Source organism: Homo sapiens, chromosome 19 (genome assembly GCF_000001405.40).
Source record: "Homo sapiens chromosome 19, GRCh38.p14 Primary Assembly".
NCBI lineage: Eukaryota > Metazoa > Chordata > Mammalia > Primates > Hominidae > Homo > Homo sapiens.
Genome location: NC_000019.10, coordinates 39,005,541 through 39,033,192, shown reverse-complemented (window position 1 = coordinate 39,033,192; position 27,652 = coordinate 39,005,541). Strand labels below are relative to the sequence as shown.

The following is a 27,652-nucleotide window of genomic DNA, read 5'->3' as shown; positions in this document are numbered from 1 at the left end:
CCACAATTGTATTTTTATTGGACAGAGCTGATCTAGAGGTTAAAATGAGGAATTCCGGAGCTAGGCTGGCTGGATTCAAATCCCTACTAGCTGGTGATCATAGACAAGCCACTTGGCCTCTGCTGGTCTCAGTTTTTTCACCTGTGAAGTAAAGGGCATAACAGCACCTACTTCATGGGGTTGCCACCCTGGCTGGCAGTAAAACCGTCCATAAAAGTTGGCTGGTGTTACTATTGGTTGCATTAATTTTTAGCAGCCGGAGCCTGTTTTCTCCTGTGAAATGAAGATAACCACGCCCGACCTTAAAGGTGATGGAAATTTTTTAACACGTTAACGGATACGAGGCCTCCCACTCAGAAGCCTGACCAAAATAACAATGGTTGCTCAGAGCCAGACGTCTCATTGCTACTAACGAATTAGGGACACTTCAAGGGGCCGGCTGGAGGGGACGGCTGTGAGCAGCAGGCCTTGGCTCCTGGCTGCACCTGGCCCCGTCGCGGGAAGCAGGTTGGGTTTGGAGAGCGGGAGGGAGCAGGCGGGAGGGGCTGGCGAGTAAGAAAGAGGATGCAGGGGTGGGTGAAGCTGGCTAGTAAGAGGGGAGGGGCCGGCGAGTAAAAAGGACGCAGAGGGGCGTGGGGAGCTTGCGGCACAGCTAGGGCATCCCGGCGAGGAGCGCCGCCAGGCCCCGGGGTAGGACTTGGGGTGCGGTGTCGGTGCGGCCGCCGAGGGGGGCTGATTGCATGCAATTCGGGGCATACACACAGACCGCGGGGTCTCCGGGATATCGGGGCTATCAAGGACGGGCTGGGGGATGGGGACTTGGGGACGGGGCCCAGGGATGGTGAAGACGGGGGTGCGGCTGGCAGAATCAGGGCAGGCAGAGGCTGCGCGCCGCGGAGGCTGCTGGTCCCTGACGCCTTGACCCTTCCTCTCCCGCAGCCACAGCCGGGCCTGGCGGGGGGACCATGGGCGCCTCGGTCTCCAGGGGCCGGGCCGCCCGGGTCCCCGCGCCGGAGCCGGAACCCGAAGAGGCGCTGGACCTGAGCCAACTACCCCCAGAGCTGCTTCTGGTGGTGCTGAGCCACGTCCCCCCGCGCACGCTGCTCGGGCGCTGCCGCCAAGTGTGCCGGGGCTGGCGAGCCCTGGTGGACGGCCAGGCCCTGTGGCTGCTGATCCTGGCCCGCGACCACGGCGCCACCGGCCGCGCGCTGCTGCACCTCGCCCGCAGCTGCCAGTCTCCCGCCCGTAACGCCAGGCCTTGCCCCCTGGGCCGCTTCTGCGCGCGCAGACCCATCGGACGCAACCTTATTCGCAACCCCTGCGGCCAAGGTGGGATCTCGGAAGAGGAAGTCCAGGATGCTGGGCCACAGTGGGAGCGGTAGCGGGGCCGGAGGGGCGGGGCCGCACTGGGACCGGTACTAGGGGCCGCAGGGGCAGGGCCGCAGTGGGACCGGTGGGAGGAGTCGGAGAGGCGGGGCAGCATTGGGAGCCGGTGTGAGGTGCCGGAGGGGCGGGGCAGCATTGGGAGCCGGTGGGAGGTGTCGGAGGGACGAGGCAGCATTGGCACGCAGGGTGCAGGGCTGACTGGGCAGGGCTTCACCGTTTGCCTGTGGGAGGGGTGGGAGTGGGGCAGTTCTGGGAGCCCGAGAGAGGGGTTGGAGGGGCAGGGCTTTGCTGCAAATCAGTGAGAAGGGCCAGAGGAGCGGGGCTTTGCCCTGAGCTGGTGGGAGGGGAAGGGGGCGGGGCCTCGGTGGGAAGGGTCAGGTGAGTGAGCTGCACTGTGAGCACGTGGGAGGGGCTAGGGGCGGGGTCTCACTAGGAACCAACAGGCGGGCGACTGGAACTTGGGCACAAGCCTTTTTTATTTCACAGAAGGCCTCCGAAAGTGGATGGTGCAACACGGTGGGGACGGCTGGGTGGTGGAGGAAAACAGGACAACCGTGCCTGGGGCCCCTTCTCAGACGTGCTTCGTGACTTCATTCAGGTGAATGCCCCTGCTATCCAAAGGTCCGGCCCCTTGTTGAGAAAGGCCTGCCTGTTCTCATTACCCTGTCTCCTGCATTCCCAGCTGGTGTTGCAAGAAGCAGGTCTTGGACCTAGAGGAGGAGGGTCTGTGGCCAGAACTGCTGGATAGTGGCAGGATTGAGATTTGTGTCTCTGACTGGTGAGTGTGACGATTAAAATAGCCCCTTGCTAAGCACTGACTGCATGTGACATGGCCTTTTTATGGGTGACTTAATTTAGGCCTCCTAACCCCTCCTTACAGATAAAAAATCTGAAGTTCAGGCCAGCCATGGTGGCTCACACCTATAATCCCAGCACTTTGGGGGGTCGAGGCAGGCAGATCACTTGAGGTCAGGAGTTCGAGACCAGCCCAACCAGCATGGCAAAACCTCGTCTCTACTAAAAATACAAAAAAAAAATTAGCCGGGCCTGGTAGTGCACACCTGTAGTCCCACATACTTGGGAGGCTGAGGCAGGAGAATCACTTGAACCCAGGAGGTGGAGGTTGTACCACTACACTCCAGCCTGGACGACAGAGTGAGACTCAGTCCTGGAAAAAAAAAAGAAAGAAAAGAAACTGAAGTTCAGGGAGGTGAAGTGAAAAACACACTCACAGTTCTAGTAATTAGCAGAGTACACACTTTCTGCTCATGCCCAAAAGGATGTGGATTGGAAGACAGAAGATGAGATCCAGTACAGAGACCTTTGGCCCAGCTCAGTCTTGTCTGTGAATGAATGAGATGCTCCTTGCCTTAGGAGGAGAAAACAGCATAGTTAGCCAAGAGCTTAGGTTCTGGAGCCAGACCTCCCAGATTCAAACCCTAGCTCTGTGGCTTTGTAGCCTTGGGCAAGTCACAGCATACCTCTGTTTCCCCTGTTTACAAGATAGGGCTCTTGCAATGACAATTATTATATGGCAAACACATAGCAAGTACTTTATGTGAGCACCTTTTTTTGAACCTTGATCCTGTGGGAAGGTGTATTTCAAGCCCTCAGATCATTCAGAGCTTCTCAGGAAATTGAGAGGTTGGGAAAGGGGAGATGGCAGTCTGGGCACGGTGGCTCATGCCTGTAATCCCAGCACTCTGGGAGGCCGAGGTGGGCAGATCTCTTGAGCTAAGGAGTTCGAGACCAGCCTGGCCAGCATGGCAAAACCCATCTCTACTAAAAATACAAAAAATTAGCTGGGCGTCATGGTAAGTGTCTGTAGTCCCAGCTACTCAGGAGGCTGAGGCAGGAGAATCACTTGAACCCGGGAAGTGGAGGTTGCAGTGAGCTGAGATGGCACCACTGCACTCCAGCCTGGGCAACAGAGCGAGACTCCATCAAAAAAAGAAAGGGGAGATGACTTGCCCTGGTCTGGTCACACAGCCTGGGCTTGGCAGAACCTGGCATAAGGCTCAGAGTCAGATTCTGACTCCAGAGCTTGTCCTCTGTAGTGATGGTCTTGAAACTGGGGTGCATGAAGACTTTCCAGGGGATATATGACCCAGATGGTTTTATGGGAGTCAAATTCCAGGTCCACTACAGCCATGAGCCCCCTATTACACAATTAATCTGCTATAGGTTACATCTGTGTGGGAAGTATCATATGATTCTCGTTCCCCAATCTCTTTCTCAGTGTCCCCCTTCTCTAGTTTTATAGGAAAAAAGCCCCTCACTAAGGTGTGGTCCCCAGATGTAAGGACTACTGGGGAGCCAGGCAAAGTGGCCATTGGAAATTTGGGGCCTTAGCAAATTCACTTTTTTTTTTTTTTTTTTTGAGACAGAGTCTCACTAGGTGGCCCAGGCTAGAGTGCAATGGTGCAATCTCAGATCACTGCAACCTCTACCTCCCAGATTCAAGTGATTCTCCTGCCTCAGCCTCCCGAGTAGCTGGGATTACAGGTGTGCACCACCACACCTGGCTATTTTTTTTTATTTTTAGTAGAGATGGGGTTTCACCATGTTGCCCAGGCTGGTCTTGAACTGCTGACCTCAGGTGATCTGCCCACCTCAGCCTATTAAAGTGCCGGGATTACAGGCATAAGCCACTGTGCCTGGCCAGCAAATTCACTCTTAATCAAGGCACCATAACCCTATTCCCCAACTCCATCTCATTAAGAGATACATCTCCAATAAGATTTTTTTTTTTTTTTTTTTTTTTAGAGACAGAGTCTTGCTCTTTTACCCAGGCTGGAGTGCAGTGGCGTGATCTCGGCTCACTGCAATCTCTACCACCTGGCCTCAAAAAATCCTCCCACCTCAGCCTCCTGAGTAACTGGGACTACAGGTGCATACTGGCTAATTTTACATGCCTGGCTAATTTTTGAATTTTTTGTTTTTTTGAGACAAAGTTTCACTTGTCACCCAGGCTGGAGTGCAATGGCACAATCTCAGCTCACTGCAACCTCTGCCTTCTGGATTCAAGTGATTCTCCTGCCTCAGCCTCCCCAGTAGCTCGGATTGCAGGTGTGTACCACCACGCCTGGCTAATTTTTGTATTTTTAGTAGAGACGGGGTTTGGCCACGTTGGCCAGGCTGGCCTCGAACTCCTGACCTCAGGTGATCTGCCCGCCTCTGCCTCCCAAAGTCCTGGGATTACAGGTGTGAGCCACCATGCCCAGCCATATTTTCTGTAGAGACGGGGTTTTGCCATGTCACCCAGGCTGGCCTTGAACTCCTGGATTCAAGCAGTCCTTACACCTCTGCCTCCCAAAGTGCTGGGATTACAGGTGTGAGCCACCACGGCTGGCCAGATTTTATTTTTTGTTATTACTTATCAAACTATGTAACATATTTGTGTTGTTTTGATCAGTGGGTACTATTTGATTGTGATAATCAGTGGCTCCCAAATTTTGCCGCACCTCATAAAGGTAGCTTTTAAAACATAAAATGCCCAGGCACCATTCATACCCATTAAATCTGAGCATCTGAGGGTGAGAGCCAGGCACCAATATTTGTTTGTTTTTTGTTTTTGAGACAGGGTCTCCCTCTATCGCCCAGGCTGGAGTGCAATGGTGCGATCTCAGCTCACTGCAACCTCTGCCTCCTGGGTTCCAGCGATTCTCCTGCCTCGTAGCTGGGATTACAGGCACCTGCCACCACGCCTGGCTAATTTTTGTATTTTTAGTAGAGACAAGGTTTCACCATGTTGGCCAGGCTGGTCTCGAACTCCTAACCTCAAGTGATCCACCCACCTCGGCCTCCCAAAGTGTTGGGATTACAGGCGTGAGCCACCTCGCCCAGACAGGCATCAATATTTGTGAGAAGTTTAGAGCTTGCTACAAAGTTCGGGGATGGAATCCCTAAGACCATCCTCGCTTCTGACATGATATGTCACAACAACACAAATATGTTATGTAGTTTGATGAGTAATAATTAAAAACAAAATCTGACTGGGCATGGTGGCTCACGCCTATAGTCCCAACACTTTGGGAGGCGGAGGCAGGAAGATCGCCTGAGTCCAGGAGTTCAAGACCAGCCTGGGTCACATGGCAAAACCCCATCTCTACATCTTTACCAACTACAAGTTTGGAGGACTTCCAAAACCACCTTCACAATTCAATAATTCACTGGACGAACTCACAGAAAGCTACTACACACTTCTGGTTTATTACAGGGAAAAGATACAGATTAAAATCAGCCAAGAAAAGGAGGGCATAGAGCAGCATCCAGGGAAAAGATCAAACACAGAGCTTCTGTTGTCCTTCTCCCATGGCATCAGGACATGTTACCGTGCTGGCACTGATGTGTGACAAGATGCATGGAATTTTGTTGACCAAGGGAGTTCACTTGAGCCTCGGTGTCCAGAGTGTTTCTTGGGTTCATCACAAGGCCTGATGGATTGATCGATTGCCCACGTGGTTAATCTCAGCCTCCAGGTCAACTGACGTTCCCTGACTCCCAGCCCCCACCGAAAGTCACATTGTGGGTCTTTCCGGAGACTCCCCACTGAGACTATTTATATGAGTGTGGCTGGCCCCTGCCCTAAATCATATTGGTAGATTATCCAGTACCACCTGGGTCCCCATCAAAGACACTCCTGTCTGACACAACATTCCAAAGGTCCAGAGATCACCTCCCAGGAGTCTCTTTAGAGGAACTGGATTTGCACACATGGGAAGGGCATTCGGACAAGGTAGGCAGACACCCAAAGAGATGGGGTGGCAGGTCCAGCCTTCATGGCTCCTTCCTCCCACAGGTGGGGAGCCCGACACGACAGCGGCTGTATGTACAGACTCCTCGTCCAACTTCTAGACGCCAACCAGACTGTTCTAGATAAATTCTCTGCTGTGCCTGATCCCATCCCGCAGTGGAACAACAATGCCTGCCTTCACGTGAGTCTCCTATGGGGGTTTGGGGAAAGGATGCTGGGGGCCTATTGCTGCAAAATAAATCACCCCAAAACTTAGTGGCTTAAAATCAGTGACAGTCTGGCTGGGTGCGGTGGCTCACACCTGTAATCCCAGCACTTTGGGAGGCCAAGGCAGGCGGATCACAAGGTCAGGAGTTCAAGACCAGCCTGGCCAACATGGTGAAACCCCATCTCTACTAAAAATACAAAAATTAGCTGGGCGTGGTGGCACATGCCTGTAATCCCAGCTACTCGGGAAGCTGAGGCAGGCAATCGTTTGAATCTGGGAGGCAGAAGTTGCAGTGAGCCAAGATTGCGCCATTGCACTCCAGCCTGGGTGACGGGGCGAGACTCTGTCTAAAAAAAAAATCAATGACAGTCATTTGACTACCTCTCGTGATTTCTGTGAGTCAGTAATTTCAGGAGGGCTTACCTGGGCAGTTCTGGCTCCTGTCTTTCAGCGTTCAGACAGTGACATTCTGATGATGCCTGGAGCTGCAGGCCAGGGTGGTGGGTAGTATGTGTGTAGCTGTTGGTGGCTGGCCAAACATCTCTTTCTTCATTTAGTCTCAGAGCTTCTCCATGGGATCTCTCTGCTTGGGCTCCTTTGGGCTTCCTCACACCATGGCGGCTCCTAGGCAGTCAGATTGCTCATGTGGTTGCTCAGGGAGGAGGGTTCCAGAGAAACAGTAGAAGCTGCCTTGCTTTTTCTGACCTAGCCTTAAAAAGTCACTTGGCCAAAGTCACTGAGCATCATTTTCACCACATTCTTGGTGACAAGCAAACCCACCTTGATTCATGGGGAAGGGAGTTAGATTCTACTTCTTTTTTTTTTGAGGCAGAGTCTCGCTCCATCATCCAGGCTGGAGTGTAGTAGCATGATCTCTGCTCACTGCAACCTTCGCCTGCCAGGTTCAAGTGATTCTCCTGCCTCAGCCTCCCGAGTAGATGGGACTACAGGCACGTGCCACCAAGCCCAGCTAATATTTTTTGTATTTTTAGTAGAGACAGGGTTTCACCGTGTTGGCCAGACTGGTCTCGAACTCCTGGCCTCAAGCAATCCACCTGCCTCGGCCTCCCAAAGTGCTGGGATTACAGGCACGAGCCATACCGCACCCGACCAGATTCTACTTTTTAATGAGGGAGTGGAAGATTCTATAAGATTCTAGAAGAACATGTGGCCCAATTGGAGATTTTATAGCCATCCTTGGAAAATAACCATCTTCCAGAAGGCCCTAACCTCAGCTTTGGAGGGGAGGCTGTGGCACAATGGAGCTGAGCCCCTCCTCTGCCTACAGGTCACCCACGTGTTCTCCAACATCAAGATGGGCGTCCGCTTTGTGTCTTTCGAACACCGGGGCCAGGACACACAGTTCTGGGCTGGCCACTATGGAGCCCGTGTGACCAACTCCAGTGTGATCGTGCGAGTCCGTCTGTCCTAGTCCAGCACTACCCTTCTTGCAAGACAGCCTGACTGTGCCTTCCAGGGCCTGGGACCATTGGCTGGGACCCCTCATTAACCAACCAAGCACTTGTACCTCCCTGGCATACTGAGAATTCCTGGGTCCAATCAAAGGCCCTGACGGGCCCTGTCTTCAGGTTCTAGAAACTACCAGAAGAAGCTTCTTCCATCTTATCTACCTACTGCAGCTGCTGCTTTGCGGGGGGGCCCTACTGTACTGAGGGGAAACCCACAAGTGAGCATGGGGGAATGCCCATCCTGGAGAAGAATTCTTGCCCTCCCCTCTCTTCTCCTCCCAACCAAAACCCTCCGATCCAGCCCCAGGCCCCTCTGTACCATCCCCTCCCCTCCGCACCACTGACCTCTTGTCTCCTGTTGTTTCTGCCACAGGGACTTCCTTGGTCCCTTCAGGGAAGCCCTCAACTCATCTCTGAACTTAGAATCTCATCCTTAGGGCTCAGAGAGTCCCAGCCCTAAGGGTGTGAACCTCACCTCCTGGGGCTTCCGAGCTACAGGGCTGGGACCAGGTCATGCAGCTGAAAGTCTACGTTAAAAAAAAAAAGTTTGGGCCAGGCACAGTGGCTCATGCCTGTAATCCCAGCACTTTGGGAGGCTGAGGCAGGCGGATCACCTGAGGTCAGGAGTTCAAGACCAGCCTGGCCAACATGGTGAAACCCCGTCTCTACTAAAAATCCAAAAAATTAGCCGGGCTTGGTGGTGTGCACCTGTAATTCCAGCTACTCGGGAGGCTGAGGCAGGAGAATTGCTTGAGCCCGGGAGGCAGAGGCTGCAGTGAACCAAGATCATGCCACTGCACTCCAGCCTGGGCAACACAGCGAGACTCCGTCTCAAAAAGAAAAAGTTTGGATCAGGCAGGGTGGCTCACACCTGTAATCCCTGCACTTTGGGAGGCCAAGGTGGGAGGATCAGTTGAGCCCCAGAGTTCAAGACCAGCCTGGGCAATGTAGTAAGACCCCCATCGCTACAAAAAATACAAAAGTTAGCCAGGTACAGTAGTACACACCTGTAGTCCAAGCTACTTGGGAGGCTGAAGTGGGAGGATCATTTGTGCCCAGGTTGAGGCTATAGTGAGCCATGATCATACCACTGCACTCCAGCCTGGGTGACAGAGCGAGACCCTGTCTCAAAAAAAAAAAAGAATTTGGAGATGGTTCTGCCCACTCTGGTTTCTCTGAAAAAACGAGGTAATTCCCTGAGCCCAACCCTGATCCTCAAGGACCTGTAATTGTGTGGTATTTAAAATTAAAATAACATTATTTTTATTTTGACTTTTTTTCAAACAGTAAGAATAATATATCAGCAGCATGTATCTGCCAATCATATGTAATAAATTTCTTATTTTGCCAAAACCACTTCAGATCTTTTTAATAGAAATGCAGAGTTACTGCCTTGGTTGAGAATCATAAGTAGTCCCAGTTGAGGAGGGAAAACTGTACGAAAGCAAACACTAGCTGAGGCCGGGCGCAGTGGCTCACACCTATAATCCCAGCACTTTGGGAGGCCGAGGTGGGCGGATCACTTGAGGTCAGGAGTTCAAGACCAGCCTGGCCAACATGGTGAAACCCTGTCTCTACTAAAAATACAAAAAATTAGCCAGGCATGGTGGCACGCGCCTGTAATCCCAGTTACTCGGGAGGCTGAGGTAGGAGAATCGTTTGAATCCGGGAGGTGGAGGTTGCAGTGAGCCAGGATCGCATCACTGCGCTCCATCCTGGGCGAAAGAGCGAGACTCCGTCTCAAATTAAAAAAAAAAAAAAGACAATAGGTCCAGCCTCTAGAGAGCTGACTCCCTGGATCCCCTGGCTGATTTTGGTGAGTGCTGGCTACAATGAGGAAGAAAAGCATGGCCCAAGTGACACCTTTGGCTTTTTTCCCTCTCTTCTGTAGGCTGCAAGAGAAAGGGCCAAGACTTTCCCAAAATGAGTTTTTGGTGGGTCAAAGACAGTAAACAGTTTATAGGTGCTCTTTCCTCCAACTGGGAGTAAAAGAAATTAAATCTATTGCCGGCCAGCTCAAAGCTTTCGATAAGCCAGATGGGAAAAAAAGAATAAGATAAACATACACAGTTGGCCCTCCATGTGGCTAGCTTCTGCATCTGTGGATTCAACCAACTGTAGATTGGAAATATTCGGGAGGCTGGGCCTGGTGCCTCACGCCTGTAATCCCAGTACTCTGGGGGACCGCGGCAGGTGGATCACTTGAGGTCAGTTCGAGACCAGGCTAGCCAACATGGTGAAACCCCGTCTCTACTAAAAATACAAAAATTGCTGGGCATGGTGGCTCACACCTGTAATCTCAGCACTTTGGGAGGCTGAGGCAGATGGATCACCAGAGGTCATGAGTTCGAGACCAGCCAGGCCAATATGGCGAAACCCCATCTCTACTAAAAATACAAAAAAAAAAAATTAGCCAGGCATGGTGGTGGGCACCTGTAATCCCAGCTACTTGGGAGGCTGAGGCAGGAGAATTGCTTGAACCTGGGAGGCAGAGGTTGCCGTAAGCCAAGATCGCGCCATTGCTATCCAGCCAGGGCAACAAGAGCAAAACTCTGTCTCAAAAAATAAATAAATAAAATAAAAATGCAAATTAGCCAGTCGTGGCAGCAGGTGCCTGTAATCCCAGCTGTCTGGGAGTCTGAGGCAGGAGAATCGCTTGAACCCGGGAGGCAGAGGTTGCAGTGATCCAAGATCGCTCCACTGAACTCCAGCCTGGGCGACAGAGACTTTGTCTCAAAAACAGACAAACAAACAAAAAAATTAGCCAGGCATGGAGGCACACGTCTGTAGTCCCAGCTACTCAGGAGCATGAGGTGGGAGGATCACCTGAACCTGGGAGGCGGAGGTTGCAGTGAGCCAAGATCACACCACTGCACTCCAGCCTGGGTGACAGAGCAAAACTCTGTCTCAAACAAAAGACAATATTCGGGAAAGACTGGATGTGGTGGCTCACGCCTATAATCCCAACACTGTAGGAAGCCTAGGCAGGAGAATTGCTTGAGCCCAGGAGTTCAAGACCAGCCTAGGCAACATAGTGAGACCCATCTCTACAAAAAAATTTAAAAAATTAGCTGGGTGTGGTGGGGGAGCGTGTGCCTGTAGTCTCAGCTACTTGACAGGCTGAGGTGGGAGGATCACTGGAGCCCCCGATATTGAGACCACAACACTCCAGCCTAGGAGACAGAGTGAGACCCTGTCTCAAAAAAAAAAAAAAAAAAAAAAAAAAAGAATAGAAAATATTTGGGGAAAAAAACTTCCACAAAGTTTCAAAAAGTAAAAACTTGAATTTGCCCCATGCCAAGTACCATGTTGAATCCGTGAGAATGAAGTGATGTGGAAATATTATATAGTTGACCCATGAACAACGTGACGGTTGGGGTGCTGACCTTCCTTGCTGTTAAAAATCTGAGGATAGCCGGATGTGGTGGCTCACACCTGTAATCCCAGCACTTTGGGAGGCTAAGGCAGGTGGATCACAAGGTCAGGAGTTCAAGACCAGCCTGGCCAACATGGTGAAACCCCATCTCTACTAAAAATACAAAAATTAGCTGGGCGTGGTGGCAGGTACCTGTAATCCCAGCTACTCGGGAGGCTGAGGCAGGAGAATCGCTTGAACCCAGGAGGCAGAGGTTGCAGTGAGCCAAGATTGCACCGCTGCACTCCAGCCTGGGCAACACAGCAAGACTCCATCTCAAAAAAAAAAATCTGAGTATAACTTTTGATTCCCCCAAAACTTAACTACTAATAGCCTACTGTTGACCAGAAGCCTCGCTGATAACATAAATGGTCAATTAACACATATGTTGTATGTTATTATATTATATACTGTATTCTTACAATAAAGTAAGCTAAAGAAAAGAAAATGTTGTTAAGCAAATTATAAGGAAGAGAAAGTACATTTACTATTCAGTAAGTGGAGGTGGTCATCATAAAAGTCTTCATCCTCGTTATCTTCACAATGAGTAGGCTGAAGAGGAGGGCTGGTCTTGCTGTCTTAGAGGTGGCAAAAGTGGATGAGGTGATGGAGGTGGAGAGGGAGGCAGGACAGGCAGGTACTTTACAGAAATACATCATAGTTTCTGTCTGACTTTTTGCTTTTTCATTTCTCTAAAAATGTTTCTATATGGCACCAAAACTTCTTCCACGGTTTGCTTTAGTGTCAGTTCCTGTATCACAGAGGGGTCCATGTTGTGAAAGAAGTCAAAAACATCTTCAGTTAACATCTTCTGGCCAGGCACGGTGGCTCCCATCTGTAATCCCAGCACTTTGGGATGGGGGTGGATCACCTGAGGTCAGGAGTTCGAGACCAGCCTGGCCAACATGGCGAAACCCTGTCTCTGAAACTACAAAAATTAGCTGGGCGTGGTGGCGGGTGCCTGTAATCCCTGCTACTCAGGAGGCTGAGGCAGGAGAATCACTTGAACCCGGGAGGCGGAGGTTGCAGTGAGCTGAGATTTTGCTACCGCACTCCAGCCTGGGTGACAGAGCGAGACTCCATCTCAGGGAAAAAAAAAAAATCTTCTGTTAATTCCTCTGGTGTGGTATCTATTAGCTCTTGAATTTCCCCAAGATCCATGGCTTGAAACCCTTCACCCCCTACCTTTTTTTTTTTTTTTTTGCCATATCCACAATCTCTTTAATGATTTCCTTGATTGGCTCTGTTATAAATCCTGTGAGGTCATGTACAACATATAGACACAGTTTTCTCCTGCAGGAATTTATTATTTTGGCTCAATGGTATTTGTAGCCTTTCTCTAACAAGGATGGCCTCTTCAGTGGTGTCATCCTTCCAGACTTTTCTAATGTTCTCTACATCAGGCTTTTCTTCCATAGTGTTGACAGTCCTTTCCACAGTGTGTAATGAGCCTTAAAGGTCCTTATGACCCCCTGATCTAGAGGCTGAATTAGAGATGCTGTGTTTGGGGGCAATGAGACCACTTCGGCACCTTCATTGTTGCATTCGTGGGGTTCTTGGTGGCCAGGGACACTGTCTAATATCAAAGTAACTAACTGGCAAGGTACTTCCTAACTTCAAGGACAAAGCGTCGGTGGAACCAATCCAGAAGAAGGGTTCTTGTTGTCCAGGCCTTCTTGTTGTACAACTGAAAGACTGGCAGCTTTATCTTTCAAGTCTTGGAGGTTAGCAGTTTTCTGTGTAAGGGCAGCCTCATCATAAATCTGACACCATTTGCACGAAACAGTAGAGTCAGCCTATCCCTACCTGCCTTAAGTGCTTGCTTCTCTTCCTTACTAATAAATGTCCTTTGAGGCATTTTTTCCAGAATAGGGCACTTTAGTCTGCATTACAAACCTCTTCATGACCAGGCGAGGTGTGGCTCCTGCCTGTAATCCCAGCACTTTGGGAGGCCAAGTGGGGAGAATCGCTTGAGATCAGGAGTTTGAGATCAGCCTGGCCAACATGGTGAAATCCCATCTCTACTAAAAATACAAAAAATTAGCTGGGTATGGTGGCGGGTACCTATAATCCCAGCTACTCAGGAGACTGAGGCAGTAGAATCGCTTGAACCCAGGAGGCGGAGGTTGCAGTGAGCTGAGATGGAGCCACTGCACTCCAGCCTGGGCAACAGAGCAAGGCTCTGTCTCAAAAACAAACAAACAAACAAAACAAACAAACAAAAAACCCTCTTTAGGCAGATAACTTTTCTCCTCAATGATTTTCTCATTGGCACCTGGGAACCCATCTGCTGCCTTTTGGTTGGTAGAAGCCACCTCTCCTGTTACCTTGATATTTTTTTCAGCCAAACTCTTTAAAATTATCAAACCATCCTTTGCTGGCATTAAACTCTCCAGATTTATGTCCCTCACCTTCCTTTAGCTTTAAGTTGTCATATAATGGCTACACTTTTCTAGAATTATATTAGAGTCTATAGGTATGTCTTTCTTTTTTTTTTTTTTTTTTTTTTTTTTTTTTTTTTTTTTTTTTTTTTTGAGACAGAGTCTCACTCTGTTGCCCAGGCTGGAGTGCAATGGCACGATCTCGGCTCACCACAAGCTCCGCCTCCTGGGTTCACGCCATTCTCTTGCCTCAGCCTCCCGAGTAGCTGGGACTACAGGTGCCCGCCACCATGCCCAGCTAAGTTTTTTTGTATTTTTAGTAGAGACGGGGTTTCACCATGTTAGCCAGGATGGTCTCGATCTCCTGATCTCGTGACCGCCCACCTTGGCCTCCCAAAGTGCTGGGATTACAGGCGTGAGCTACCGTGCTCGGCAAGTATGCCTTTCTTATAGCAATTCTGCACCCACAGAAAAACTGCATTTTCTTTCTTTCTTTTTTTTTTTTTTTTGTGATAGAGTCTTGCTCTGTCACCCAGGCTAGAGTGCAGTGGCATGATCTGGGCTCACTGCAACCTCTGCCTCCCGGGTTCAAGTGATTCTTGTGTCTCAACCTCCCAAGTAGCTGGGATTACAGGCACCCACCACCATGCCCAGTTCATTTTTGTATTTTTGGTAGAGACAGGGTTTCGCCACGTTGGCCAGGCTGGTCTCGAACTCCTGGCCTCAAGTGATCCACCCACCTCAGCCTCCCAAAGTGCTGGGATTCCAGGCGTGAGCCATCACACCTGGCTTTGCATTTTCAGTATGAGATAAAAAGGTATTTCACAAAAAGTGCAAGGATTTCCTGCTTGCCGGCATAACTGTGACCACTTCGGGAATTTCATTTTCTTTTTTTTACAATGCTCCTCAATGCTGAATTCATCTTGAAATGTCAGGCAACTGCAGCTGCAGACCTCAATCTATGGTACATATCAAGCAAATCAACTCTCTCGTAATGTCATGACTTGTCTACTTCTTGGGAGCACTGTCAGTTTCATCAGTGGCACTTTGCATGGGTCCCGTGGTGTTATTCAGGGTTTACGATATTGCACTCAACAGGATGAAAAATGAACGAGAACCGGAAGATATCACTGTTTACTGCGCTATGCAATTTACTGGAGAAACGAACTCCTGGAGATGATTAGCATCACATGGTGTTTAAGCTGATACAACACTTCAGCTCACTGCAATAACAACAGGAGGTGGCTATGAAATTATTACAGTAGTACAGTATTACTTCAGTTAATTTCGTGCAATTATGATTTCACACTGCCTCTTTGTATTGATTTACATTTGTCTCAACTGCAAATGGTACCATGCAAAGTCTGTGTTTATGTGTGTAAGTTTTGGCCAACATGGTGAAACCCCATCTCTACTAAAAATACAAAAAATTAGCTGGGCATGGTGGCGGGCACCTGTAAGCCCAGTTACTTGGGAGGCTGAGGCAGGAGGATTGCTTGAACCCGGGAGGTGGAGGTTGCAGCGAGCGAGATCGCACCATCGCACTCCAGCCTGAGCATCAAGAGTGAAACTCCATCACGAAAAAATAATAATTAATAAAGTATATGGGAGGATGTGTGGAGGTTATATGCAAATATCACTGCATTTTATATAAGGACTTGAGTATCTGTGGATTTTGGGATCCATGGGAGTTTCTGGAACCAATCCCATGGATACCAAAGGCTGACTGTAGATTCTACCCATTTCTTCAGCCCACAGGTTGCAGCAACCCTGCCTTCTATTCCAACTATTAAGTGTTGAATTTATTGATAGACATTTGAGTAGGTTTGCAATGAGAAAAAAAAAGGGAGAAATTTGAAAAGCTCCTTTGTATTTTGTGACTGTTTCATCTAGATGTATGATTTTTTTTTTTTTTGAGACAGTCTCGCTGTTGCCCAGGCTGGAGTGCAGTAACCTCCACCTCCCAGGTTCAAGTGATTCTCAGCCTCCCAAGTAAGTGGCATTACAGGCACGTGCCACCATGCCCAGCTAATTTTTTGTATTTTTAGTTGAGACAGGGTTTCACTATGTTGGCTGTGCTGGTCTCAAACTCCTGACCTCAGGTGATCCACCCTCCTCGGCCTCCCAAAGTGCTGGGATTACAGGCGTGAGCTACTACACCTGGCCTAAACGTATGATTTTTTAAAATCAATGTAAAATGTTTATGCTTGCACTATACACTATGAGGATCATCTGGATTAGGGAAAGCTGCAAAAATCATTGTGTGTGTATAAAACAAATCCCTTGCTTTTTGCCAACAATGGGAGGATTGGAATTTAAATTCTCTGAGTATTGGAAACAGAACAAGTACAGTGTCTGTAAACGATGATTTCTGCCATGATTTTGGCTTACTGGAGCCTTTGGAGAAAGGAAGAAGCAGTAAAAAGAGCGACGCAATCTCTGGATGGAAATAAACTTTTGGAGTTTCACTTTAAAGCAAAAAAATTATTTGTTGAGGCAGGATCTCACACTCTCACCCAGGCTGGAGTGCAGTGGCGCGATCATGGCTCACTGCAGCCTCGACCTCCTGGGCTCAAATGATCCTCCTGCTTCAGCCTCCTGAGTAGCTAGGACTACAGGCACATGCCACCACACCCAGCTACTTTTAGAGTTTTAAAAAACACTTTCTAGTTTGCTAATAAGCCCTTGTTAAAATCAAATGCTGGACCCTTAAAGGCAGCTGATGAGGCAGCCTGGTGTGCATATTTTTTTGTATGTCTGAAAAAGTTTCGTTTATTTAATATGCTTTTTTTTTTGAGACGTTCTCACTCTGTTGCCCAGGCTAGAGTACAACAGTGCAATCTCATCTCACTGCATCCTTGACCTCCTAGACTCAAGCAATCCTCCCACCTCAGCTTCTTGAGTAGCTGGAATTACAGGTGCGTGTGCCACCACACCCAGCTAATTTTTGTTTTTTTGGCTTTTGGGTTTTTTTTTTTTTTTTTTCAAATTAGAGACAAGGTCTCACTATGTTGCCCAGGCTGGTCTCGAACTCCTGAGTTCAAGTTATCTTCCCACTTCAGCCTCCCAAAGTGCTAGGATTACAGGCGTGAGCCACCGCGCCCAGCCTAGACTTTATTTTTAGAGCAGTTTTAGGTTCACAGCAAAATTGAGCAGAAAGTACAGAGTTCTCCTATATCCCGTTTCCCCCAGCCCCTCACGCACACACACACACACACCCTTCCCGCTATCAACATCCCCCACCAGAGTGGTACATGTTATAATCAATGAACCTATGTTGACACATCCTTATCACCCAAACTCCATAGTTTGTATTAGGGTCACACTTGGTGTCGTGCATTCTCTGGATTTGGACAAATGTGTAACGACATGTATCTACCATTGCGGTATCACACAGACTAGTTTCACTGCCCTAAAAGTCCTCTGTGCTCTACCAGTTCACTCCTCCCTCCCTCAACCCCAGAGGACCACTGGTCTTTTTGTTTGTTTCGTTTTGTATTTGTTTTGAGATGGAGTCTCACTCTGTCACCCAGGCTAGAGTGCAGTGGCATGATCTTGGCTCACTGCAACCTCCGCCTCCCGGGTTCGAGAGATGCTCCCACCTCAGCCTCCCGAGTAGCTGGGATTACAGGTGACTGCTACCACGTCTGGCTAATTTTTTTGTATTTTTAGTTGAGACGGGGTTTTACCATGTAGCCAGGCTGGTCTTGAACTCCTCACCTCAAACGATCTACCCGCCTGAGCCTCCCAAAGTGCTGGGATTATAGGCGTGAGCCACCTCGCCTGGCCGACCACTGATTTTATATTGACTCCATAGTTTTGCCTTTTCCAGAATGTCATATTGATGGAATCATGCAGTATGTATCCTTACCTAATTGGTCTCTTACTTAGTGATATGTAGTTAAGGTTCCTCCAGGTCTTTTCATGGCTTGATAGATCACTTTTAGAGACAGGGTCTCACTCTGTTGCCGAGGCTGAAGTGCAGTAGCATGATCAGACCATGGCTCACTGCAGCCTAAAACTCCTGGGCTCAAGCGAGCCTCCTGCCTCAGCCTCCCAAGTAGCCGGGACTACAGGCGCATGCCACCACACCTGGCTAATACTTTTTTTTTTAAGATGAGGTCTTGCTTTGTTGCCCAGGTTGGTCTCAAACACTTGGGCTCAAGCAATCCGCCCGCCTTGGCCTCCCAAAGTGCTGGGATTACAGGCATGAGCCACCACACTCAGCCTTTTTTTTTTTTTTTTTTTTTTTTTTTTTTGAGACAGAGTCTTGCTCTGTCACCCAGGCTGGAGTGTAGTGGTGTGATCATGGCTCACTGCAACCTCTGCCTCCCAGGCTCAAGCCATCCTCCTGCCTCAGCTTCCCAAGTAGCTGAGACCACAAGGGCACACCACCACATTCAACTAATGTTTTTTTATTTTTTTGTAGAGAGGGGGTTTTGCCACGTTGCCCAGGCTGGTCTCAAACTCCTGGACTCAAGCAATCCACCCACTTTGGCCTCCCAATGTGCTGGGATTACAGGTGTGAGCCACTGCCCCCAACCTTTTTTTTTTTTTTTTGAGACAGAGTCTTGCTCTGTTGCCCAAGCTGGAGTGCAATAGCGTGATCTCGGCTCACTGCAAACTCCATCTTCCAGGTTCAAGTGATTCTCTTGCCTCAGCCTCCCAAGTAGTTGGGATTACAGGCACACACCACCCTTATTGATGAGTTTTAAGAGTTCTTTGTACATTTTGAATAATAGTCCTTTATCAGATATGTCTTCTGCAAATCCCTTCTCCCGGTCTGTGGTTGTCTTCTCTTTTTCTTGAAGGTATGCATTTTTGTTTGTTTGTTTGTTTGTTTTTTTGTTTTTAGACAGGGTCTTACTCTGTTACCCAAGCTGGAGTACAATGATGCAGTCATGGCTCACTGCAGCCTCGACCTCCTGGGCTCAAGCGATCCTCCCACCTCGGCCTCCCAAGTAACTGGGACTACAGGTGCCCACCTCCACGCCCAGTTAATTTTAATTTTTTTTTCTTTTTTTTTGTAGAGACACAGTTTCACTATGTTGCCTGGGCTGGTCTTGAACTCCTGTGCTCAAGCAATCCTCTCGCCTCAGCCTCCCACAGTGCTGGGATTACAGGCACAAGCCACTGCATCCAGCCCGTGCGTGTTTTTGAGTGCACCAATTCCAGCTCTAAGATTGACGAGGTAAAAAGGCTTAGGAAAGCCTTGTTTGTCACTTGCACTTGAAACAGAACCTTCTAGCCTGCAGCATCTTGGCTTTGCTGCTGCCAAAGAACAGCCACTGACTTGTGGCTTCCTGAATTCACAGATCCTACTGGCCTGGACCTGACTGTAAGCCAAAACCTGATACTGCTGTCTGCTCTGTGCTGTTTCAGTCTCAGCATGTGCTGTGCTAAATTAAAAACGGGCGCACACTCCAGGAACAGCACTTCGACTATGAGACCATTGCAGACTTAGGGCACCCTCCGTGGGACCTAAACTGAAAACATCATGGATGCTGACTGGACCATCTGGATCACATAAAAATGCCCACAGGAAAGGGCTTCTTTTTGTTTTTTGAGACGGAGTCTCACTGTCTCCCCCAGGCTGGAGTGCAGTGGCGTGATCTCAGCTCACTGCAAGCTCTGCCTCCCAGGTTCACGCCATTCTCCTGCCTCAGCCTCCCGAGTAGCTGGGACTACAGGCGCCCACCACCACACCCGGCTAATTTTTTGTATTTTTAGTAGAGACGGGGTTTCACCGTATTAGCCAGGATGGTCTCGATCTCCTGACCTCGTGATCCGCCTGCCTTGGCCTCCCAAAGTGCTGGGATTACAGATGTGAGCCACCACGCCAGGCCAAGGAAAGGGCTTCTTCTTTGAGGAAACCATCTACAATCAACTGGCTTCTTGGCTCTATATTTCTTTCTTTTTATTTTCTTTTATTTTTTTTAATTTTTTTTTAGACGGAGTCTCCTTCTGTCACCCATGCTGGAGTGCAGTGGTGTGATCTCAGCTCACTGCAACCTCCACCTCCTGGGTTCAAGCAATTCTCCTGCCTCAGCCTCCCAAGTAGCTGGGATTACAGGCATACGCCACCATGCCTGGCTAATTTTTGTATTTTTAGTAGAGACGGGGCTTCACCATGTTGGCCAGGCTGGTTTCGAACTCCTGACCTCAGGTGATCCTCCCGCCTCAGCCTCCCAAAGTGCTGGGATTGCAGGCATGAGCCACCGCGCCTGGCCATCGAATGTATTTCTAACCTGTGATTCCTGCCAAAAGCTGTAAGTTCAAGGAGGGCACCTCTCAGGGACTGTGACCCCTCTGGCTGCTTCTGACAGGTTGGACACTTGGGAGACGCCTCATTTCTGTTGCCTTGTGCTCAACTTTCTGGATTAGTTGTAGGTTGCAACTGTGGCCTGTAGCCTGACTCTACTTCCCCACTTCTCTCCTGCTACAACACACACCTTAGGAAGGCAGTTTGATTACTGATGCAGCGGTCCCCAGAAAGGGATTGAGCTTTTGCAGGAAGTTCATTGGATGATGATCGGGAAAGAGGTTATAGAAAAACATTTTGAAAATTTAGGATTTCTGTTGTTTGTTTGTTCGTTTGTTTGTTTGTTTGTTTGTTTTGAGACAGGGTCTCACTCTGTTGCCCAGGCTGGAGTGCAGTAGCGCCATCTTGACTCACTGCAACCTCTACCTCCCAGGTTCAAGCAATTGTCCTGCCTCAGCCTCCCAAGTACCTAGGACTACAGGCCCGCGCCTCCACGTCTGGCTAATTTTTGTATTTTTTTAGTAGAGTCGGGGTTTCACTCTGTTGGCCAGGCTGGTCTCAAACTCCCAACCTCAGGTGATCCGGCCTCCTCGGCCTCCCAAAGTGCTAGCATTACAGGCATGAGCAATCGTGCCCCGCTTCTTTTCTTGATATATAAGCTGGTAACAAACAAAAAAAAAGAAGAAAATTTAGAATTTCATCCTGACCAATTCCTGGATGTGATGTGTGTTTCTAGTCAACTTGTATAAAAATGTTTCTTCTGTGAAATGCTTCCATCCCTTTTGTATCCAACCCTTCTGGATGAAACATTTAGATGAGAATTTGAAAATGACGCTGGGCGTGGTGGCTCACGCCTGTAATCCCAACACTTTGGGAGGCCGAGGTGGGTGGATCTCCTGAGGTCGGGAGTTTGAGACCAGCCTGGTCAACATGGAGAAACCCCATCTCTATTAAAAATACAAAATGGGTCGGGCGTGGTTGCCCATGCCTGTAATCGCAGCTACTCGGAAGGCTGAGGCAGGAGAATTGCTTGAACCCGGGAGGCTGAGGTTGCGGTAAGCAAAGATCACGCCATTGCACTCCAGCCTGGGCAACAAGAGCGAAACTGTCTCAAAAAAAAAAAAAAAGGTTAATAAATTCAGGACATTTTTGGGATACAAATCAATATTGAAAATCAGGGCTCGGCCGGGCGTGGTGGCTCACGCCTGTAATCCCAGTACTTTGGGAGGCCGAGACGGGCGGATCACGAGGTCAGGAGATCGAGACCATCCTGGCTAACATGGTGAAACCACGTCTCTACCAAAAAAAAAATACAAAAAATTAGCTGGTCATGGTGGCGGGCACCTGTAGTCCCAGCTACTCGGGAGGCTGAGGCAGGAGAATGGCGTGAACCCGGGAGGTGGAGCTTGCAGAGAGCCGAGATTGCGTCACTGTACTCCAGCCTGGGATGACAGAAAGAGACTCCGTCTAAAAAAAAAAAAAAAAAAAGAAAAGAAAATCAGGGCTCAGCATAGTGGCTTATGCCTATAATTCTCAACACTTTGGGAGGCGAGGTGGGAGGATTGCTTGAGGCCAAGAGTTCAAGACCAGCCGGGGCAACAAAGGGAGACCCCCCCTCCCCCGCCGCCATCTCTGCGAAAAATAAGAAAAGAAAATTAGTTGTATTTCAATACACTAGCAATGCCAATCTGAAAATGAAATTAAGAAAACAATTCTACTTTTACACTGAAAGCTACAATATTGCTGAAAGAAATTAAATAAGAGCTAAATAAATAGATACCCCATGTTCATCAACTGGAAGACTTTATATTTTTAAGATGACAATACTCCCTAAATTGATCTACAGATTCAGTTGCAATGCCTATCAAAAAAAAATTGTTTTGAGAGAGAGAGTTTCGCTCTGTTGCCCAGGGTGGAGTCCAGCGGCACAGTCTCAGCTCACTGCAACCTCCGCCTCCCAGGTTCAAGCAATTCTCATGCCTCCACCTTCCAGGTAGCTGGGATTACAGGCGGGTGACACCACGCCCGGCTAATGTTTTGTATTTTTAGTAGAGACGGGGTTTCACCATGTTGCCCAGGGTGGTCTCAAACTCCTGACCTCGGGTGGTCCGCCCTCCTCAGCCTCCCAAAGTGCTGGGATTACTGGCGTGAGCCACTGCACCCGGCCACTTGTCAAAATTTTAAGAGCCATTTTTTTTGCAGAAATGGACAAGCTGATCTCAAAATTCACATGGAATTGCAAGAGGTTCCAAATAGCCAAAACAATCTTGAAAAAGAACAAAGTTGGAGGATTCACGCTTTCCAGTTTCAAAACTTACTACAAAGCTACAGTAATCAGAACAGTGTGGTCCTGGCATAAGTAATGTTGGACAAGTGAGCCCCAAAGTGAGACTTAGCCCATGAGGTTCTTGGCTTTGCCCAGGAAAGAATTCAAGGCCAAGCCAATGGTAGAAGAAAACAGCTTTATTGAAGGGGCAGTGTTATAGCTCCAGCCCTGTTACAACTCTGATTACTCCTGCACAGCAGGGCTCTGGCAGAGACTAGCAGCTCAGGGCAGTTTTGCAGTCATTTATATCTACTTTAAACACATGCAGATTAAGGGGTGATTTGTGCAAAAATTTCTAGGGAATGGGTAATAACTTTTGGGTCATCGAGTCAATGCCATGGAAGAGACGGGGGATAACCCCCTGGTGTTGCGATGGCAACGGTAAACTGACATGGCAACTGATGAGCGTGTCTTACGGAAAGCTCATTCCACCCCAGCCCTGTTTCAGCTAGTCCTCAATTTGGTCCAGTGTCCGAGCCCTGCCTCTGGAGTCAAGTCCCACCTCCTACCTCATAAGGAGAGACATAAATCAATGGAATAGAATCGAGAGTCCAGAAATAAACTCATACCTCGATGATCAATTGATTTTCAACAACGGTGCCAAGACCATTCAGTGGGGGAAAGAATCATATTTTCAACAAATGGTGCCAGATAACGACATCCAAAGGAGTGCAACTGGGCCCCTATCTCACACCATCTACAGAAATTAAGTCAAAGTGCCTCAAACACTAAGAGCTAAGACTATAACATTCTTAGAAGAATACAGGGATATCTCTTTATGATCTTGATTTGGTAATTGATTTTTAGATAACACTAAAAGCACAAGCAACAATAGGAAAAAAAAAAGTAAATTTAACCTCATCAAAATTTAAAATTTTTAGGCTGGGTGCAGTGGCTCACACCTCTAATCCCAGCACTTTGGGAGGCTGAGGCAGAAGGATCACTTGAGTCCAGGAGTTCGAGACAAGTCTGGCCAACATGGTGAAACCCCACCTCTACTAAAAATATAAAAATTAGCCAGGAGTGGTGGTAGCTGCCTATAATCCCAGCTACTCGGGAGGCTGAGGCCTGAGAATCACTTGAACCCAGGGGACGCAGGTTGCAATGAGCTGAGATCACGCCACTGCACTCCAGCCTGAGGGACAGAGTGAGACTCTGTCTCAAAAACAAACAAACAACAACAACAAAAAAAAAAACCCCACAACTTTTGTGCATCAGAGGACACAACCAAATAATGAAAAGACAACCCACAGACTGGGAGAGAATGTTTTGCAAATTATATATCTGATAAGGGTCTAGTATCCAAAATATATAAAGAATTCTTACAACTCAACAATAAAAGATAAGCAACTCAGTTTTCAAATGGGCAAAGGACTTGAATAGGTATTTTTCCAAAGAAGATATACCAGTGTTCGGTAAGTACATGAAAAGACGTTCAACAGCATTAATCCTTAGGGAGATGCAGATCAAAGCCACAGTAAAATACCACTTCCTACCCAGTAGGATGAATATGAGCAAAAAGAAAAAAAGAAGAAAACAGCAAGTGTTGGTGATGATATGGAGATTATCCTCACACATTGCTGATGGGAATGTAAAATGGTGCAGCTGCTTTAGAAAGCCGTTTGTCATTTCTTCAAAAAGCTAAACGTAGAATTCTACTGCATGACATAGCAATTCCACTCCTACATATATACCCAAGAGGATTTAAAACAAGTGCTCAAATAAAATCTTATACACAAATGTTCATAACTACATTATTCATAAGAGACAAAGAGTGGAAACAAGCAAATGTCCTTCAACTGATGAATGGATAAACCAAAAGTGGTCCATCCATACAATGGGAAATTATTCCATCATAAAAAGGAATAGGCTGGGCATGGAGGCTCACGCCTGTAATCCCAACATTTTAGGAGGCCAAGGCGGGCAGATCACTTGATGTCAGGAGTTCGAGACCAGCCTGGCTAATATGGTGAAACCCCGTCTCTACTAAAAATACAAAAAATTAGCTGGGCATGGTGGCGGGTGCCTGTAATCCCAGCTACTCAGGAGGCTGAGGCAGGAGAATTGCTTGAACTTGGGAGGCAGAGGTTGTGGTGAGCCAGGATTACCCCACTGCACTCCAGCCTGGGCGATGGAGCGAGACTCTGTCTCAAAACAAACGTACAAAAAAGGAATGAAATACTGATATATGCTGCAATATGGATGAACCTTGAAAACATGCTAAATGAAAGAAGGCCACATATTTTATGAATCCATTTATATGAATTGCCCAGAATCGGAAAATCTGTGGAGACAGGAAATAGATTAGCGGTTGCCAGGGAGGAGGAGGGAGGATGGAGAGTGACTGCTCACAGGTACACGGATTGTTTGGGGTGATTTGGGAACTAGATGGTGGTGATGGTTGTACAACATTGTGAATGTACCGAAAACCACTGAATTATATACATTTTTAAATGGCTAAAATAGTGATTTATATATTGTATGAATTTTACCTCCGTAAAAATGGAAAAAAATCTAAAGTTATAATGACCGAATGAGACATACTGATTTTGTAACAAAAAGGCAAAAACAGAGCCGGTTACATTAGCACATGCTTGTAATCCCAGCTACTCAAAAGGCTGAGGCAGAAGGATCGCTTGAGCCCAGGAGTTCAAGTCCAGCCTGGGCAACATAGTGAGACCCCATTTATATTTAAATAAATAAAACCTTCTTTTTTTTTTTTTTTGAGACAGAGTCTCACTCTGTTGCCCAGGCTGGAGTGCAGTGGCACCATCTCCGCTCACTGCAACCTCTGGTTCCCAGGTTCAAGTGAGTATTGTGCCTCAGCCTCCCAAGTAAGTGGGACTATAGGCGTGCACCACCATGCCTGGCTAATTTTTCATATTTTTAGTAGAGATGGGGGTTTCACCATGTTGGCCAGGCTGGTCTCGAGCTCCTAAGCTCAGGCAACCGCTCACCTAAGCCTCCCAAATTGCTAGGATCACAGATGTGAGCCACCATGCCTAGCCAATAAAACATTTTTAAATAGCCAAAACACAGGCAGAGTGCGGTGGCTCACACCTATAATCCCAGCACTTTGGGAGGCCGAGGCAGGCAGATTTCTTGAGCCCAGGAGTTCGAGCCCAGCCTGGGCAACCTGGGCAACATAGGGAAACTCCATCTCTACAAAAAATGCAAAAATTAGCCAGGCGTGGTGGCATGTGCCCGTAGTCCCAACTACTTGGGAGGCTGAGGTGGGAGGATCGCTTGAGCCTGGGAGGCGGAGGTTGCAGTGAGCTGAGATCGCGCCATTGCACTCCAGCCTGGGTGACAGAGAGAGACCTTGTCTCTAAAAATTAACTAGTTAATTAATTAATGTTTGAAAAAAAGCCCAAACACAAACTTGGCATCTGGGGAGATGCAGAGTTGGGGGTGGGCAGTAATGACCTCTGCCTTTCAGAACTACTCCCGAGAACTTTCCCCTCCTCCCAAAGAAAAATAAGAAGAAACACCCGGTCTTGCCTTTCCAAGCTGCTGGACTGATTTGAATTCAAATTGACTGTGACCCTCCATTTGATCCCTATACTTCCACCTGCTCACCTGCCACCTGGGGTGGCCCAGCTCCTGGATATTCCACCAGAACGCCCAGCTGGGGTTGCTGTCCACACTCCTCAGGCAGAGACACTGTTGTCATGGACATGCAAAACCCATCTGGAATTGACTGCCTTGGGCATTCCCTCTGACAGCAAGGACTGAGCAGATCCGTTTGGACTGGTCTGGCAACTTTAGGGCTGGAGGCCCAGGCTGGAACACCACACTGGGGCCCCTGAACCTCTTATGAATGCACCTCCTGCCTGGGGTTCCCTAAAAACTGTAAACTCTCTGTCTCCAGGGGGCACCACGTGTGCCCTCTGGGATTGTACTTTTCTGTATTTTTTTTTTTTTTTTTTTTTGGAGACACCCAGGCTAGAGTCCAGTGGTATGATCTCAGCTCACTGCAGCTTCGAATTCCTGGCCTCAAGTGATCCTCCCACCTCAGCCTCCCAAGGAGCTGTGACTATAGGCGCACACCACCATGCCTTTTTTGCATCTTTTGTAGAGATGGGGTTTCTCTATGTTGCCCAGGCTGGTCTTGAACTCCTGGGCTCAAGTGATCTTCCCGCCTTACCCTCCCAAAGTACTGGGATTATAGGCATGAGCCACAGCACCTGGCCTGGGATTATATTTCGTGTGTGTGTTGTCCCCTGATTATTAGGACACTGTCTCAGCCCTGAACACTGTTCAGATCAGCTTCAACTTACTGGTCAGCTGTACTTGCTGTGCCTGAGTCAATGTCTTGAACCACATAAAACAATTCATACAGAAACAAGGAGGAAGCCACTTGGCTTTCGAAGATAGATCTCTGTGGTTAGCGGGATGTGCTTTTTTTTCTTTTTTCTTTTTCTTTTTTTGAGAAGGAGTTTCGCTCTTGTTGCCCAGGCTGGTGTTCAGTGGCGTGATCTAGGCTCACCGCAACCTCTGCTTCCCGGGTTCAAGCGACTCTCCTACCTCAGCCTCTCGAATAGCTGGGATTACAGGCATGCACCACCACGCCAGGCTAATTTTTTGTATTTTTAGTAGAGACGGGGTTTCTCCATGTTGGTTGGGCTGGTCTCGAACTCCCAACCTCAGGTGATCCACCTACCTTGGCCTCCCAAAGTGCTGGGATTACAGGAGTAGGCCACCTTGCCTGGCCAATTTTTGTATTTTCAGTAAAGACGGGTTTTTCACCATGTTTGCCAGGCTGGTCTTGAACTCCTGACCTCAAGTGATCCGCCCACCTCGGCAGCCTCAAGTGCTAAGATTACAGGCATGAACCACCACTCCTGGCCAGGCCAGTTTTACTTTGCACAGTGTCTCTCCATTTGCTTTTGTCTGATGTTTCTTTATAATTAGATTCAGATTATAACATCTTTGGCAAGAATATCACCAAAGAGACTTTTCTGTGTGTCCCCACTGCATTTTTCATGTGCTGCACAATTTCAATTTGTCCCAGTATTGATGACATTTCACCTTGATCACTTGATTTAAAGTGGTGTCAGCCAACCTTCACTGTCAAGTTACTTTCCTCTTTGTAATTAGTGTTTCATAAGTTCTTTAAAACACTGTAAATATCCCATTCTTCATCAACCTTTGGATTCATTCATTTATCTACATATATCAGTATTGACTTGTGGTTTCCTATTTTATTCAGTGGGCTACAATGTTACTCTCTGTATCCATTGGCTTGGGCTCCCGTAACAAAATTCACAGACTTGGGGGCTTCAACAACAGAAATTTACTTCTCACAGTTCTAGAAGCTGGAAGTCCAAGATCAAGGTGTTGGCATAGCCGGGCGTGGTGGCTCATGCCTGTAATCCCAACACTTTGAGAGGCGGAGGTGGGCGATCACTTGAGGTCAGGAGTTTGAGACTAGCCTGGCCAACATGGT

The 27,652-nt window shown here is 48.2% G+C and overlaps 1 protein-coding gene across 5 annotated transcripts, besides 10 other annotated features; it reads left to right on the top strand.

Annotated features, from left to right (window-relative positions):
* Positions 1-643: 643 nt before the first annotated feature.
* Positions 644-27,351, top strand: FBXO27 (F-box protein 27). 5 transcript variants are annotated; one of them, XM_047438172.1, is made up of 7 exons: positions 644-690; positions 940-1,329; positions 1,873-1,984; positions 2,069-2,164; positions 6,188-6,323; positions 18,646-18,806; positions 18,931-24,666. In XM_047438172.1, the coding sequence occupies exons 2-7, from the start codon at positions 966-968 to the stop codon at positions 19,016-19,018; spliced, it is 957 nt and encodes a 318-aa protein (XP_047294128.1). In that variant the 5' UTR covers positions 644-690; positions 940-965; the 3' UTR covers positions 19,019-24,666. The 5 variants fall into 5 exon arrangements, with proteins under 5 accessions (XP_047294128.1, XP_016881779.1, XP_047294129.1 ...); XM_017026290.2 differs by lacking the exons at positions 18,646-18,806; positions 18,931-24,666 and adding an exon at positions 25,643-27,351; XM_047438173.1 differs by having other exon boundaries at positions 644-1,329.
* Positions 757-1,549: an enhancer, noted in NCBI's record as "H3K27ac-H3K4me1 hESC enhancer chr19:39522284-39523076 (GRCh37/hg19 assembly coordinates)". NCBI's record gives its function as "activates a minimal SCP1, AML or CMV promoter by ChIP-STARR-seq in primed H9 embryonic stem cells {active_cell/tissue: H9 hESC(primed)}" and the evidence as "EXISTENCE:reporter gene assay evidence [ECO:0000049][PMID:30033119]".
* Positions 866-935: a silencer, noted in NCBI's record as "silent region_10594". NCBI's record gives its function as "represses an Ori minimal core promoter by ATAC-STARR-seq in GM12878 lymphoblastoid cells {active_cell/tissue: GM12878}" and the evidence as "EXISTENCE:reporter gene assay evidence [ECO:0000049][PMID:35858748]".
* Positions 996-1,145: a silencer, noted in NCBI's record as "silent region_10593". NCBI's record gives its function as "represses an Ori minimal core promoter by ATAC-STARR-seq in GM12878 lymphoblastoid cells {active_cell/tissue: GM12878}" and the evidence as "EXISTENCE:reporter gene assay evidence [ECO:0000049][PMID:35858748]".
* Positions 1,346-1,425: a silencer, noted in NCBI's record as "silent region_10592". NCBI's record gives its function as "represses an Ori minimal core promoter by ATAC-STARR-seq in GM12878 lymphoblastoid cells {active_cell/tissue: GM12878}" and the evidence as "EXISTENCE:reporter gene assay evidence [ECO:0000049][PMID:35858748]".
* Positions 1,576-1,815: a silencer, noted in NCBI's record as "silent region_10591". NCBI's record gives its function as "represses an Ori minimal core promoter by ATAC-STARR-seq in GM12878 lymphoblastoid cells {active_cell/tissue: GM12878}" and the evidence as "EXISTENCE:reporter gene assay evidence [ECO:0000049][PMID:35858748]".
* Positions 1,576-1,847: a biological region, named in NCBI's record as "ReSE screen-validated silencer GRCh37_chr19:39521986-39522168".
* Positions 1,665-1,847: a silencer, noted in NCBI's record as "fragment chr19:39521986-39522168 (GRCh37/hg19 assembly coordinates)". NCBI's record gives its function as "represses an EF-1alpha promoter that drives an FKBP-Casp9 reporter gene in an ReSE screen in K562 erythroleukemia cells {active_cell/tissue: K562}" and the evidence as "EXISTENCE:reporter gene assay evidence [ECO:0000049][PMID:32094911]".
* Positions 1,956-2,065: an enhancer, noted in NCBI's record as "active region_14610". NCBI's record gives its function as "activates an Ori minimal core promoter by ATAC-STARR-seq in GM12878 lymphoblastoid cells {active_cell/tissue: GM12878}" and the evidence as "EXISTENCE:reporter gene assay evidence [ECO:0000049][PMID:35858748]".
* Positions 11,769-12,048: an enhancer, noted in NCBI's record as "active region_14609". NCBI's record gives its function as "activates an Ori minimal core promoter by ATAC-STARR-seq in GM12878 lymphoblastoid cells {active_cell/tissue: GM12878}" and the evidence as "EXISTENCE:reporter gene assay evidence [ECO:0000049][PMID:35858748]".
* Positions 26,544-26,713: an enhancer, noted in NCBI's record as "active region_14608". NCBI's record gives its function as "activates an Ori minimal core promoter by ATAC-STARR-seq in GM12878 lymphoblastoid cells {active_cell/tissue: GM12878}" and the evidence as "EXISTENCE:reporter gene assay evidence [ECO:0000049][PMID:35858748]".
* Positions 27,352-27,652: the final 301 nt, after the last annotated feature.